The 16,303-nt window shown below is 30.8% G+C and overlaps 1 protein-coding gene across 4 annotated transcripts in view; it reads right to left on the bottom strand.

The window, feature by feature from the left end:
- PCDH17 (protocadherin 17) overlaps positions 1–16,303 on the bottom strand; it is a 99,204-nt gene that overhangs the window by 77,544 nt on the left and 5,357 nt on the right. The gene's annotated exons all lie outside the window — the stretch shown is intronic.

Below are 16,303 nucleotides of genomic sequence, written 5' to 3'. Positions count from 1 at the left end.
AACGGCCCTATAGATAGTAAATATTATGCCTTATAAGAAATCAGAAACAAAATTTAAAAAGATTAAGCAACTTCCCCTGGACTGCATAGCTAATATATATATTTTTAAGTCAGGAATTTTCAAAATAGAATCCCAGGCATTGTGGTTCACACTTGTAATCCCAGAACTTTGAGAGGCTGAGGCGGATGGATGGCTTGAGACCTGGAGTTTGAGACCAGCCTGGGCAACCTGGCAGAACCCCAGCTCTAAAAAAAATATAAAAGTTAGCCAGGCCTGGTGGCACATGCCTGAAGTAACAGCTACTTGGGAGGCCGATGTGAAAGGATTGCAATGAGCCGAGATCGTGCCACTGCACTCCTGCCAGGGTGACAAAGTGAGACCCGGTCTCAAAAAAAAAAAAAAAAAAAAAAACCTCAATTAAACCACCTATCTATCAGAGAGTAACTGAATTTTAATATATCCATTGATTGGCCTAGAATTCCATTATTAAGATAATGTGAAACTACATTATTGACATGAAAAAATGAAATAGTATATAATTTTTCATGAAATTTATACAATTTTAAGGAAAATGCAGTTTACTATGCTGTGTTTAGTATATATACAACTCTTTATAAAATATATAGTTGTGTGTTTGTGTGCATGTGCACAGGCATGAAGAAGTAGAAAGAGATATAGGTTCACAATCCTTTTTTTCATTTTGTAAGACCATCCTCTTTCATATTTTAGAATGATATTTTGATGTATATGTCATGTATTGTCCATTCCAGTGGGGACTAGCGGAACACCTCAATATTAAACATATCGATATCTCTGCAGTGAAAAATGTTGATATTCACACTAGGTAGAATAAGTAAAGATTATAAGTAATGTTAAATCAGTTCAGGCCTGAGTCTTTTGAATTTTAGAATTGGAAAGGAAGAATTGCAGATTTACTCAACAAAAAATTAACAATGGTTTTCTCTGAGTAGTAAATTATAGGCAATTGAACTCTATAAGTTCAACTTTCTCTATTTTCAGTCCACAATTATGTAATGACTTCTTACTATACACTGGACACTGTTTTAGATATTTATTTTAGTAGAATATTTGCAATATATAAGAATTTTTCTTAAAATTGGGAAAAATATAGTCATAATTTTGAGAAGAGTGAAAATTAAACTCAAAGACAAATAACATATTCAAAAACAACTTGAAATTATTTTAATATAAAAACATGGATATCTGAATATCAGGAGTTTGTAATAGTTGTTGTTTTTCCCAGGATTAAAGTATCTTTTTGTAGGGAAACTATTGACTTGCTAAAAATCAAACAGAAGAGGAGTAACTGGCCCTGTAGTCAAATGTAAGCAATTCATCCCTGGAGGGTCACTACAGATTCCAGTTCAATGATAGACTAGTTGAAATCCAAAAGGCAGTAGACCAGCCGTGCCTGAATCTCAACTACACAGGCCTACAGGCACGTGGTCTCAGTGGAGTAGCTCCATCTCTGGAGTATCTGTTATTACACACACACACACACACACACACACACACACACACACACACAATCAAGGGTCCAGAAATCTCAAATATTTACATCTCATCTGGGCTTGAAAAACTCTTTTTTTTACAAGTTACTTAATTATATGTTTTGTTTTATAACATAACTAAAAAAGTTATGTCACCTTCTTATTGGTGTGTTAGACACTTTTGTGTAAATATAAAACACAAAGGACATAATTTTCTCCAACAGATAAAAAAGGAAAAGTTGTTCTCTTTTCTGATAGTCTGCTTTCCTCTTCCTTCTTTTCAAACCATGTAAATCAGGTTGTCACATACAGCTTGGAAAATAGGGTATTCCTCTCTCTGAAGGTGTGTAAGTTTATTCAAGTAGAGTTAGGTAATTTATAAAAGCTATATACTTAATATAAAAAAGACGAAGTATGAAACTCTTCCCCTAGTCTAATTTGATTTAAGGATCTTGATACCCCTTTTCTTGGGAGGACAAAATATCACAAATATAAAATGGTGCATCCAGTAGCACAGTGCATAAATAGCTCAAGCTGAAAGCATAACAATATGCTCTCCTATTATTGCAGAACCAATAAATAAGCATAATGAAAATCATGACATATTATTACATTATTCTGTATTGCTTCTGTTCATTAAAAAACAGATGAGTGCATTTAAAATAATTTTATGTCAAATGACAGTAAGCTTTGCCATTGAGATGATGCTGAAAGGGATATTTGTAAAGAGCAGAGATGCATGGTCTTATGTGGCTTACATCAAAGTTATGATAGAAGTACAAGGGATCTGAGCACTAACTACTTCACACCAAAATGGCTGTAGCATGGTATCCAAAACATGTACATTATTCACATTTGCTGTGTGTTTTCTGATATTATGGAGTCAATAAAAAACAAATTAAAAAGCTTTAGGAAAAGCTTCCCTGTCAATTTGCCCTTGGACGGATTCTCCTTTTTCCATTTCCTTGTTGATTTAATGTAGTAGATTATATTAACAGCACTGGCTTGTAAATAAGGAATATCTGAATCCTATTAATGGAGATATGCTGCCAAAATAATCAGCTTCATACTTAACAAGTTTCCAAGTATTTGGGAAAGCTGTGAAATGGGATTACAAGGTTAAGCTGTGTACATCTGGCTCATCACTATATAAATATTTCAGAAATTTGATCTCATAGGATGAAGAAACACCTGTCTAATCATGACTCTTTTCCAAGGTACATGAACTTCAGTAAGCAGAGCAATACACAAATGCTGGCAAGAAATCTTGATCAATTTACATAATGTACTTCCTATATTAGACACACAGTTTTATCATACATCATCCTTCTGAGTAGAGACATAAAAATATCCTAGAAAGATTATATGGTATTATACTTACACTGGCAAAAGGAATTGGGAGTGCCCAACATTTTAAAACTCAAGATAACCACCTGAAATACTAAATAGTTTCATTAATTTTTTTCCCTTATATCATGGTACGTGATTTTAGTGTAATTGAATGTTGTAAGTATAACTCTAAGGTAATATGAATCCAGAAAATAATTAATGTGAGGTAGGAATTTGCACATAAAAAAACAATAAAAGCTTGAGCAGTCCCTCTAGTTAACAGAAATGTTAATGAAGTTGAACATTAGTTGCTTTTAAGCAGATCCAAGATTAACTATTTTGACTCTTTGTCAAATATACACTTGCCCATTAAGCCTTTATTTATTCAAATTTTGTTCCAACAAATAATCGGGTTTTAAAAATGCACTGAGTATGGCTCTTATCTAATTAACTTCAAATGTCCAACTTGAAAATACAGACTTTGAAACTGTTGTCCAAAATGGCAGCTAAAGGTCAATGAATAAAATTTCCAATTATATTTCCTGGGAGCAGATGGGTGCAATGAAACCTAATGATTGAATTTCAAATGCTTTCATGCACCTTTTATCTGTTTTCCAACATGTTGATTCTACCTTAATGCTCTAAAAAGATAATAGGTTTATTACAATTAACCAACTAAAAAGGTATCTCCACTTTCCAATTATTTATACTACCTGGGGATATTGAACCACAGCTCCTTTCCTTCCCTCACTCCTAGAGCCTTTCTATCACCATCCCACACTTTCAACCAAAAAAATCCAAACTGTAATATCGTTAAATAACAGATGTCTCCTTGGCGATTTGATTTCTCTAGTTAAATAATGGATATTTAACATAAATGTCAAGTTTAAGTTCACTGAGACTCAATGGAAAATTTCAAATAAAAATAATTCTAAGAAATTTGTTGACTAAGTTTAACTATAAAGTTTCTTTCTTTATATGATGAACTGATACATTAGCTTACGCTGACTTGCATAGTCATAAGTATGGAAAGAAGATTTACCAAGAGGTTAAAAAAATTAGCATTCTATTCTTCAGGAGTAGCAGATGGAGAATTTTATCTCGACTATATCTTATTAGAGCACACTCTTGCCCGAAGAACCACAAGAGGAAATCATGTGGAGAAGTTTATTTTATTGCTTTTATATAAAAGAAAATCAACATTTTACATCTTAAAATATATACTCAAGCCTAAATTAAAGGAAATTGAAGAAGCCTTTTATTTTAGCTAATAAACAAAAGTTTCTTGTCTATTAAATGCATTTTTAAAATGAGAAACATAATACTGCTCAATCCAATCCACCCCTGTGTATATGCACTATGTAAAGTCAACTATACAGAGGCCAGGCCCAAATGTGCATATAGTTAAACATTTATCTGGTGATAAATATCACCATGCCTTATCAACATATTTATTTGAATATTTTTAAAAAGTACACTAGATGTAAATATACAAGGTACTAAAGTAACCCTGTGAAAAGCATATTTTCTGCTGGGATGTCACAGAAAAGAGACCAGAGCCAAGGATAAAAATAATAGAATTAGAACAGGTCAGCATAAGACATAAATAATAATTTATTTCCTTTTCTTTCACTCACAATCATGTATTTTGGATAATACTTCTAAAATGTTTAAATGACTTTTCAAAGTCTTTTAAACAAATGACATATGTTTTTAGATTATAAGGTTTGATATAAAGACTAAAAAGTACTTGCCAACTGGTGTATTTATGAAACGTTAAGATTTTTACCAACATTATTTGGAAGTCACATTGCCAGCAGATGTCCAAGCTGTATTTTTTAAAAGAAAGCATGTACGATAGTTTAAGAAAAAGTCACAGAAAGAGTAAAACACAAACAGATTATGGAATATTACAAGCCCAGTTTCTGGTTGATGGTGTCTAAGAGAAAACTTGTTCCTGGCACACAGGGCTTCTTGTAGTAACATGTAACCAAGACTTATTTTGACATCCCCCTGGATCAAGGTTGAGTAGCACTGATTGCTGATGTGTCTTATTTTCAAAAATGCCAAATATTTCAGGGTGAATTAACAGATGGACTTGAACTATTAGTATAATGCCTAGACAAATGTGGATATAAATTCTGCATTGAGAACTTCTTATTCATGGGATAATCTTATATGATATTTAATACCGTTAGCTTAATCTTTCAGAAAAATCCTCTTGTCTACGAAGGTTGAAAATGAATTCTAAACATTTTTAAATTACATTTCTATGCTTCTTTCTATTTTTCCTTCACTTTTTATTTCAGCTACTCTGACTAATGGGGATAATTGAATTTTTAATATGTTTGAAAACTCGTTCTGCCTAAAACTTTTATTCTGTAAAACCTCCTTATGGTTTGATATGGATTTTAAAATGTAAAATTCAGACAAACGTAGCTAACTCTCAGTATAGCTTAAAAGTACTAAATAATACAACTTCACATGTACCCCATAAATTTGCACAAATAAAAAAATGAAAAACCAGTAAACCATTTCAATTAATAGCTTTTAAAATTATTACATTATTTATTCATTGAATTAATAATTATAGATTAAACACCTCTGAAAGTTGTGGATGTCTTTTTAATAACAATACTGAAATGGACAACATACTGTTTATATGAAGGCTTAGCTTGCATTTACTCAATATTTGCATAAAAATTTCATTACCACATATATGTGACAGATTCTGAAATTTTGAGAAAAATGTTGTAAGTTGGCTTATTACATACACTTGATAATTTCCAACCATATTTTTATTTTCTGATTATCACATGGTAGATGATCTGTGCCCAAGCAATTAAATTGTAAAATTATATATCAAAAAATAAAAATAAATGTAATCCCAAAATAACTGTTTATGGTTTAGATATAATCTCATTTCATTAAAATTATCATATAGAAAATAAATATTTATACTTTATGGAGCATTTCCACAAATAAAACCAGGTTAAAAATTAATTAATATATAGACGAAATGATCATATTAGTTTCTTAATAACTGACTGAGGTTGGGTAATCCTTAAAGCCTTAAAAAATAGACAGACATAACATCAGAAGTGCATCACTCTAATACCATATAAACCAGACCAAAGAGTGGGACAAAAGATAGAAAGATATGCTACAATCAACACAATTTCCTCTTGATGTACCATTTATATAAGTGTGTGTGTATATATTATATATACCATATACAATTATATATAATATAAACAAATACTGGGAGAGCTTGATGCTCATAATTGTGAAACTTGATCACCTGTCTTTCTCCATGAAGTTGTAATATTATTAATAAAATTATATACAAATTTTCATAGCAATAATTACAAAAGTGGTAACTATAAATTTAAAAATATCAAAATATGCCACATTCAAATAAATTATTTACCAGCAGATCAACATTTTAGCATATTTATATTAATATCTTAGACTTTAGCCTTAGTCACATCTAGATTTGAATCCAAATTCCAGCATGTATCTGATGGGTGATTGTCGAAAATGACTTAACTATAGAAGTCTCAGTTTCTTCAAAAAGAATTCATATTTTTTTAAGTGTATACTACATGTCAGAAACTGCTACATTATTTCAACTACAGTGACAATCAAGATGGATGCGGCTTCTGGTTTCGAGTATTCTACTATCTAGACTGCTTTGAGAAAAAATAACTAATCTTACTCATAGAGAGTTAAAACACTGATCGAGAGGTTTAACACTTTACAGACTTAATATCATTCATTAGTTTGTGTGTAGATCAATTAAATCTTTATTAAGAAAAGAGTACACACAACAACTACAAAAAGAAATGAATGGAAATGAGTTGGGTGTTAAATTTCTTGTTATCCACCAGTATTAATATATTTTTTACTGCACTTTAAAATCCCTAGGCAACATGTAGCTTTGGGATCACTTCCATGGCTACTACTGGATTAGATATTATTTTACCACACTTTTCTTATTACCTCCTAGGCTAAGTCGTGCTTTCTCAACATTGCCAAATGGTCTTATTCCCTTTTACTTCAAACTTAACCAGGCAACCGAAGAGCGTGATGGAAAATATTATCTGCTCCTTTCCTGAGACATTACATGTCAACTTTTCACCTAAGGCAAAATTTAATGGCTAATTTGTGGATCTTTATTTCTAGAGATTTACTACGGAAAAACTGACATAACCTTTAACCAGAGCAAAACAGGCACTCTAATAAGCAGGCGACACCAAACCTAAAAATGCACGAGGAACAGAAAAATCCTGGCAAGAATTAATCTGCCATTTTCACACATCTGCCCAAGGGGGGTATTGTAATTGCAAAAATTTACTCTAAGACTGCTGAGACTCATAGTAATTATGTTTCTTTTTTTTTAATAGAAATAGCCACAGGTGGTAACAAATTGAGTTTTGAGATGGGGAACTGGGCACGCATTCTAACCCAAATTACTATGTAATTGTCTTGATTATAAAAAATCGTGGAAAGTCTATTGCTCAAAATCAGAAGGAAAAAAAAGTCTCTATAAATGTATTCTTTGTCTTTTCTAGTTTCTCTCCACTCAGGCATAGTGCTTCATTTGTTGGTATTGGCACATCTGATATCAGAGCCACACCATAGAATAGACTTCTGCCAAGGATCCTTAAAATGTCCTGTGAGTGGGATTTGTTTAATAGGATGGTTCTCTTATTTCCATCCTTATGACCATATAGGGATAAACAGCAGCTTTCCTAAGAAGGTTGGAACCTGGAAACTTAGCTAATAATTACTACCCGTGCATCTGCCAACACTAAAAAGTGAAAGGTTATGAATATTTTTTCAAGGTATGCATTGATATTAAAATAGTTACTGTTTTCTGATATATCTGCTTTTAATAATCCTGTATCTCACTCTACACTTTGGTTCATGACACAGCACCAAAACATTTGTATTGTTTTCTAAAATGATAAATGCATTCTATGCATACCATGCCAAATAACAGTCAATGCATATCTATAAGCTTACTTCTTTAAGTCAGGAATTTCTGATTTAATCAACCAAGATTACAATATGAGGCAAGGCACTGACCTCTCACAAAAATAAAAAAATTCATTAATATAACACAAGGTCACACAAATCTTCAAATAATAATTAAAACAATCAAGTGTCTTGCCGTGAAACAATGGGAAGGTAAGTTTGTATGGAATCCTTAATATTACCACAATGAAAATGATAATAAAGACGGACTAGTGATTTATCTTTTTTGTATGACTTATAACTGCTCTTATTCACATTCTTAATTCAATAAAAGGACTTGGGATATACTATTTTAAAATAGATGCAAAACTGCAAGAGCAAAATAGAAGGCATGAATTCTGGTGGGACCCAAGAAGACACTATTATAATAGAATTCACCAATATTTAGATGATATTGTGTTTTGTTTTTGTTTTGCTGACAGAACTATAGAAATTGAAGTAATTATTTTTAACATTTAGTTTTTATGACTAATAATTTATATAAAATGTATCATTAAGCACTTATTCAAGTTTGAACTGAAAAATATTCTTTTAAACAAATTGCCTTTTCCAAATTACTAAAATAACTTTTTTCTTATTATATTTTGCTAAAATTTTAAGCATATTATTTCTCAAACATTCTAATGTCTTAATTTCATTTTATCTACTGATAAAATAAGAACATCAGTAAAAATTTCACACAGCCACTTTACACATGTGGTTAGGTAATTCTTTTCATGATTGTCAAAGGTGAATTGCTTTATAAATTCAGTAATACATATGCAATTTCTATGTCGCCGTGAAAAAATAGCAAAAATATATCAAGTATTCAGTTAAAATAATCTCAGTATACACTGCTAAAATATGTTGTGTGAAAAATAAAATGAACTATTTTAGCAAAGGCATTTGTATTGGGGACTATGATTTTTAAAAGAATGTTGTAGATTAAGGGTGAAAACTACTTTTAGATGTTCAAAACTGATGCAAATGTTTGTACAGCAAATTCAAATTTAAGAATTTATATGACATGCATAGTCTGAAATTGTATTATAACAATAAGAAAGCTATTTTGACTCCCATAACCATTTCTGCCTACAATAAATACCTGTTGCATTTTCATTTGATCAAAGCAAATTATTGGAATTTCAAATATAACCTAATTATTTCATTTATATATTTTAATTTGAGTTTTTTTCTGAATTGGAGACCATGAAAATTTTAGGCACGCAAAAAACCAAATCATTGTTTAGCATCTGTTAAGTATTTAGGTGGAAATCCTAGATAATGAGATGTAACAATTCATGACTCAGTGCCTAAATTATATTTTTAAAGTTATTATCAAAAACAGCTGAATGAAATATATCTAAAATACCATAGTTGTTGCAAAGAAATTACTTGTTTAGAGAAGTTGTAAGGTAACTGTAAAGCATAGATGCTATGAAAATAGCATCAGAATCTTTCAGAATATCAAGTCATTGTCTAAATTATGTATCAATATAATTTACAAACATGTAACCAATGTTTTTTATAAGAGTATATATCTACAAAACAATTATGAATGTATAGCTTTGAAATTTCAAATTGATTTTCATGCTCTAGCTTTCAAACCCTACAAAGGCTGCTTTTAGCTGAGAGCGTAAACAAGAAATGGTCCTTTAAATAGTCCCTTTAATGTGTTCCACTAATTAAAAATCAATCAAAAACATTAAAAGTTTAAAAAGTGTTAAATATTGTTCAGACAGCATATATTTCAGAATCAAACAGAAGTTTACAAAATTATATTTATCTTTACCTTGGCATTTTTCATACAACTTAAATATGGTGTATCACTATTATATTAAATAGAAACATAAAGAAAATAAGATAATACAGATCGTTAAACATTTCAAGATAACTGAAATAAAGTAAATTTCTAATACCATTAAGTTATTTTAATATATTCCACTCCTCTAATCAGACCAAAGTCTATTTATGTAGATTAGTTACATCTAAAGTGTCATTTATCCAACCTGTATTTATCCTTTGATCACAAAGCTTGTTAACTTAAATGGTCTTTTATTGTTATGATTCGTTTTCCCGTAATTATGCTGTTTAACTGCCTTATTTTTTTGAATAAATATATGCAAACGCGCCAATCATATTCAGCACAGTTATGCTAGATGCTCAATGAACTGTAAGAACCATTTCACTACAATAAAACTGCTTGGAATAGATCCAGGGCAAGGCCTACAAATACCAGTAATCAGAATGTCACTAGGACCAGAACAGATGAATAGAAGTATGTCATATATATATATATATATATATATATATATATATATTTTTTTTTTTTTTTTTTTTTTTTTTTTTTCTCTCAAACACTGTCTGAAACCAATTTTATAGTCTATCCCCGGAAGAACTTGGTACATACAAGCAAAGGATGCCACCCACAGAGCCACAATTTTTCATCTATATTTTGTTATGGGATTTTTGCGTGTTTTTTTTCTTTTTTTTTGCTTTACCTTAAATATATTGATCTTAGTATTTCTGCAGTAGCAAGGAAATAAAAGCATGCTTCTGCTTAGTCACAGTAGGGATGTTGATGTCATTAAGGACTTCTTTATTGTAGATAACTTATTCCAGAAGACCAAAGATCGCAGTATATCATTGTCAAAGCTAGTGGTGAAAGCTTATGACTAACTATAAAATACTGTATGTCATTGAAGAAAATTATTGTCAAAGCCTCCTTTACTAAAGTAGGTTGACAATAGGTTAATGCAGGTCTGACGAAGTTTAAAAGTGCTTTGTAGGTGGGTTGCAGAAGTCACATTATCTTCAAAATGATAGGCAAAAGGAACTTTATGCTATTCTCTAACTAATATACAGTCATTGATTGAAGGAATTTAATACACAAAAAATCCCTCCCTAATGGCTTTACTAAAATACAACCTTAAGATAATGCCCTATGGGATTTATTAAACAGAAGTACCACTGAGGGGAATACATTCTAGTGCAATGACTAATATTGTAATTAGCGGGTGCATTTGTAAGAATTTACCCACTATTGAGTGTATTGCAAGACTTCTCAGCATTAGGGAGTTAAGTTTTACTTCCTAACTGGCATGGGCCCAGTTATAGTGGCTTCTTCTTCCTCCTGTTGTTGTTTCATCATCAGGCTCACAGCATACATTCTCACATGCTTCCAGCTCTCCTGCCATCTTCTCAAAAGAATCAGGAACTTGGGTGAGATTTTTGTTTCTCTTCGTCTACATAGGCTTCAACCTATTGCCCACTGAAGGCCACGTGTTAAGTCCCCCCGCTCTAGGGTCACTAGCTCTATTTTATGGGACTTCAAATTGTTTGAAACTTTAAAACAGTAAAATAAAGCTTCAACATATTTTCAAAGAAAAATAAAAGCTTGAGCTGTTCCTTAGAGAAGAAATACTTTTGAACTAAAATGTATAAAATTGGACTAGTATTTGTGCTTGAGCAAGTACTTACATACACTATATTGAAAATATAAAGACATATACATTTATACACATATTTAAATTTACCAAAAAATTATTTGTATATTTTCATAAATACAGGCATAGCCAAATTTCACTGCAATAAATGCATGTGAATTTTCATTAATCTTAAATATATTTTTTCTTAATGTATGCCCTTTATATTTGTAGATACATTTCTATTGTGTTATAGTACATAAGCAGCAAGCAGCACTAACAGTGAAAAACTTGAAACCTGAAACCCAAGAATAGTCCTGAAACATGATAAAATATAAATGCTATATTTTTAAACAGGATTAAATATTACCTGAAATTTTTGAAGGTTTTTTCCTCTTAAAATATGTGTATTTCTTAGTTTTTTGAAGAGAGATGATATTTGGGATTATTTTAACCTCATATACAAAATCTGCATCTATGCACTTGAAAAAAGTGAATGATATATGTTATAGCATCAACTTTATGGAGAAAACATTCTGGAAAATTGGGGGATTTTGTGTGTTTAGTATGTTGAACAATATAGTCAAAGGTGGTAATGTAAATTTTCTCATGACTGAAACAGTATATTCAGGTAGTTGAGGTAACAATTTTAGGGCATACTTTTCTATGCCGATCTTTTCATGATCACACACAGCCTTAAATAACATGAAGATGCCAAGACTAAAATTCCAAATTTTTTGGCATATACTTACATATGGTAATATTTATTGAAATTATAGAACTCACACAACTCAAGTAAAATTAAAAATTATCTTACTCCTGACATTTTCAAAAGACTGAAGGATTATAATCTCAATACAAGAATGGTAAAATATTACCTAGCTTGCATTTTGAAAATTTTATCGAAAACCAAAAGCTAATGGAATCAAGAAGTTAATACATTACAAAGAGTTATATTAGTTAATATTAAAAACAAGATTCTCTGGTTTCTAGCTTTATACTTTCTGTGTTTTCATTTATTGGGAAATAGAGAAATGCCACATTAAAATTGGAGCTAAAATTTTCATAAATGCATATAAAAATAAAAGTAACAATATAATAATGATGATAACAATTTTTGGACTTTTAGGGGTTATAAACTCTTCTCCAAAAAAACTCTAAACATTGAATATCTGATTATATTTTAAATTAAGTTTATTTACTTTACACTACTTTTAATGCCTGATAAAACAGAAAAAGAAATATGTAATTATTGTGTACTCTCAAGTAGGAATTACTCATTCTACCTTTTCAAAATATTTAAGAAAAAGGATGAGTGAACTAAACAATCCAGAAGGCACAGAGTAAGAAAGGGACATTCCTTTCCTACTCAAGATACCAGAATGCCTACAAGTAGAGATGTATATATAGTTTATGGAAACTAATGCATATACTAATTAAAGAGCTGTCTTAGAATAAAAATCATAGCAAAATATCTCCAAAATTATAAATACCAAAATAAATTGTTCACGCACTTTGTATTTGTTACTGAAATCATTAATAGGCTAGAGTATGAAATTTTGAAGATCATGATCTTGGGAACTTATCTGAATAAGTCCCCATAGTGAAGATCTTCCTGTACTAGAGCAAAGTGGGAATAAAGGCATACAGCGGGTAATGTTGCTATTAAAGATGGAGTCTCCTTTCACCTTTTTACTCTGCAATATTGAGTTTATTGTTTACACTATGATACGTTAGTCCTCTACACTTCAATATCATTTTTATATATTTGGATTGGCTCTAGGTATTTACCATATGCTTAATTCCCTGTTATTGAAAAGGCCATGTACATCTATCAAAAGGATTTTATCTTCCTAGCATAAAGACTCTAAAGTCAACCCAAATGTGAATCGTTTGAAATTGATTTGTAAAACACTGAGTAAGAATGTATTCCTTTTCAAAATTTATTTTAGTAGATCTTATTCTGCTGGCTCAATGTATTTCCTTCTATGAGAGCATATTAAAATGATTTGTAGTAGTGCTACAAAAAATGTGAAAACACAGATGTTCAAACAAAACTGGGAAGTCTCCCATCAGTGAGAAGTCCCCAGCCTCCTCCTCTCTTTCCTACAAGGCCTTCATTGAAAACACCTGTTGAGAAGTCACCCTGAGACTTAGCACTTAATTCTTGATAAATCACGATAAGCAGTTATTCTTGAGAACTAGTAATAAACTCTTTACTTGACTTTAGATTTCATATTAACACATAAAATAATTCACAGGAATATTGCTCCTATAAAAAGTGCTCTTATAAATTTGTATAACAATCTATTTGCCTTATGTACTACAAAACCTGTGCTCCTATTCTTCAAAATCAGTTTTATATGTTTAAAAAGACTTAAATATTTAATTATAACTGTGTTTTATTATGATTCACACTATTGTGGGTATTTAGTTGCTAATCTATTGTTTAAACACTTTATACTTTAATTTTTCTGAGGAACTTGAAAAACACCTGAAATCAAATCTCTTCTCACAAACATCACTGTTTCTGTATCAGCTTATATGAATGCTTAGCATCCATACTCAGTAAAAGTACTCCTATGCCTAAGGAGAACCTACAGGCATTAACCTTAACATTTTAGGCCCTTTGACCCACACAAAATGCTTTGATACTTAAATCTTAACTTTAGCTTTAATGTGAGCTTCATAAATCATAAAGTTCCTAAATTTCATATCACCGCACTGTACCAGTGTATCTCAACACAATTATGAAATTCTTTTCATTCCATCAATAGAATACTCTGTACTTCCAAACAGAACACAGATGCTATAAAATGAAGATGAACCAGACCTAGTAGCAGTTAGGCTAAGTGCACTCTGTGGATTAAAATTCTACCTTCAGAAATACACATGAGATTAATAGTGTGTTTCCTTAGGATGCTGTATTACATATATACACTAATAAAAGCACCTGAAACAAGATTATGGGATACCTAAATGCTTTAATTTAAGCATGTCACTTTAGCACAGTGTGTTTGCGACACACTAGTTTAAAAAAAAAAAAGACTGTCCCTGTAGTTAATTTACTCTGCTCCCCATAATTAATATTGAGATAAACCTGATATATTTGAAAGAGAATTAACATATTAAGAACTTACAAAGCATCCTTTAGACGATTACAAAAACTGAATTAAAAAAAAGTTTAAACAATGCATGTTGAGGATATTTCTAGGGTAGAAGCAATATGGGAAAATTAGCCACTGTGCAAAACATTTCAAGGACTTAAAACAAAAACATAGTTTGTGTCTTTATGGCATGAATTAAGAATCTAGAAGAAACAGAATGTTAAAAAAAGTTTTCTCTTTACATTCTGTGTGTGTGTGCGCACGTGTGTATTTGCTTTGGCTTGAGTTTTACTGTCAATGAGAGGAATCATTATCCTATTCCTCCTTAAGCAATGACCACCTTCAAGAACAGCATGGTGCAATATACTACAGGTATCACTATCTCTCAAAATCTCTGGATATTTCAATCCAAGATTGTTCCCCACTAGTCTAACAAAGGAATCAGGCTTGTTGAAAATTCTGCACCACCTTCATTTTTACTGGAAACTAAATGAAAATTCAACTCACAGCACTTTAAATGGAAGACTAAGCATTAACCCTCTGTGACATCTTTGTAATTCTCAATGGTAAAAATATAAGAAAGGTATTTAACATATGTGTATTTATAAAATGACTGTAGCAAATCTTTAAATATGTGTTTTAATATTTCCTTCTAAATACGTATTGATTATCATAAATACCAGTTTTACACAGTCACAGAAATACTTTCATAGAAACCACATTTTTTTAAAGTGGAGAATTTCTTTTTCAGTTTTATATAGACCTTAAAAAATTATGATTACTGATGTATAGTAAACACTATTAGAAGTGAGATTTAATACTACAATTGATATTTTAATATTTAGTAGTGTCAAGTGTGAGATTGTTTTACAAGGACATTATACTATTATAGGAAAATATATTTTGCTAAGTATTAGTATTTGGTATACTTATTATGTTAGAAAGAATAAGATTATGAAATATTACTGCTCCATTTTAACAATAAAAACATTATTGAGTCCAGTGTCATCAAAAGTTATTTGCTTTTCAAAGCATAACATTATGAACAAATTATTTCCACTTGCCCCAAACTAATCTTCCTCTTGCGGTGTCACTTTCAGTTAAGCTCAATTTTGAATTCCACATACTGCTCATCCAGAGTAATTTGTTGCAACATACAATTATAATAAGCAAGAATGAAGTTTTTCTGTGACACAACTCAATAGTAGGTAAAAGAAACAAGACAATGACTAGACATGGTATAGTCACCTGCTGCTGTTAGAATCTATGTCCAAGCTGGGTCAGTCATTTAGTTTTGTGGTATTATCAATAACTTTGAAGCATACTATCTTATATATATTAAATATCACTTAGATATACTTAATATACACACTATGCAAACTAAATGCATCATGAATTCATTTTGGCACATCAAGTGCCTTCAGTGTAACTTTGCCTCCTTTTTTCAGTAGCGCAAAATGAGCCTCTGGTCCTCTGCTGTATTCCTTTCATTCCTCAGTGACTCCAAGAAACAGATCACGGTAACCACAGGACAAAACAAATACAAACTTTTCATAGATAGTTACTAGTCATTATGCAGAGCCTGCATGTATTCAAACTTTTCAAAGTGCTTCAGAGTATAACTCACATTTGAAAAGCTTAAGCTGTATTAATGCATTATGCTGCAGTTTTACCATAATGTAATGATGAAGAATAAGTGAGATTCATGTTCTTTAAAGCACCTTTAAAATATAAAGCTGACTTTTTAAGGATGAAAAGTTAGTTCAAATTGAATGAACTCTGAAATTCTGACTGGTTGTTATTCTGTACTTAAAGAAGTTAACTTCTTAATAGTTGGGTATAAGTTCCTTTCATTTTTGGCATCATTTAAAAAAACAGAATAAAAATATTTTCAAGACAATTAACTAAAACA

This window comes from Homo sapiens, chromosome 13 (genome assembly GCF_000001405.40).
Source record: "Homo sapiens chromosome 13, GRCh38.p14 Primary Assembly".
In the NCBI taxonomy this organism is placed as follows: domain Eukaryota; kingdom Metazoa; phylum Chordata; class Mammalia; order Primates; family Hominidae; genus Homo; species Homo sapiens.
Note: the sequence above shows the minus strand (reverse complement) of the source record. Positions and strands in the feature narration are given on the sequence as shown.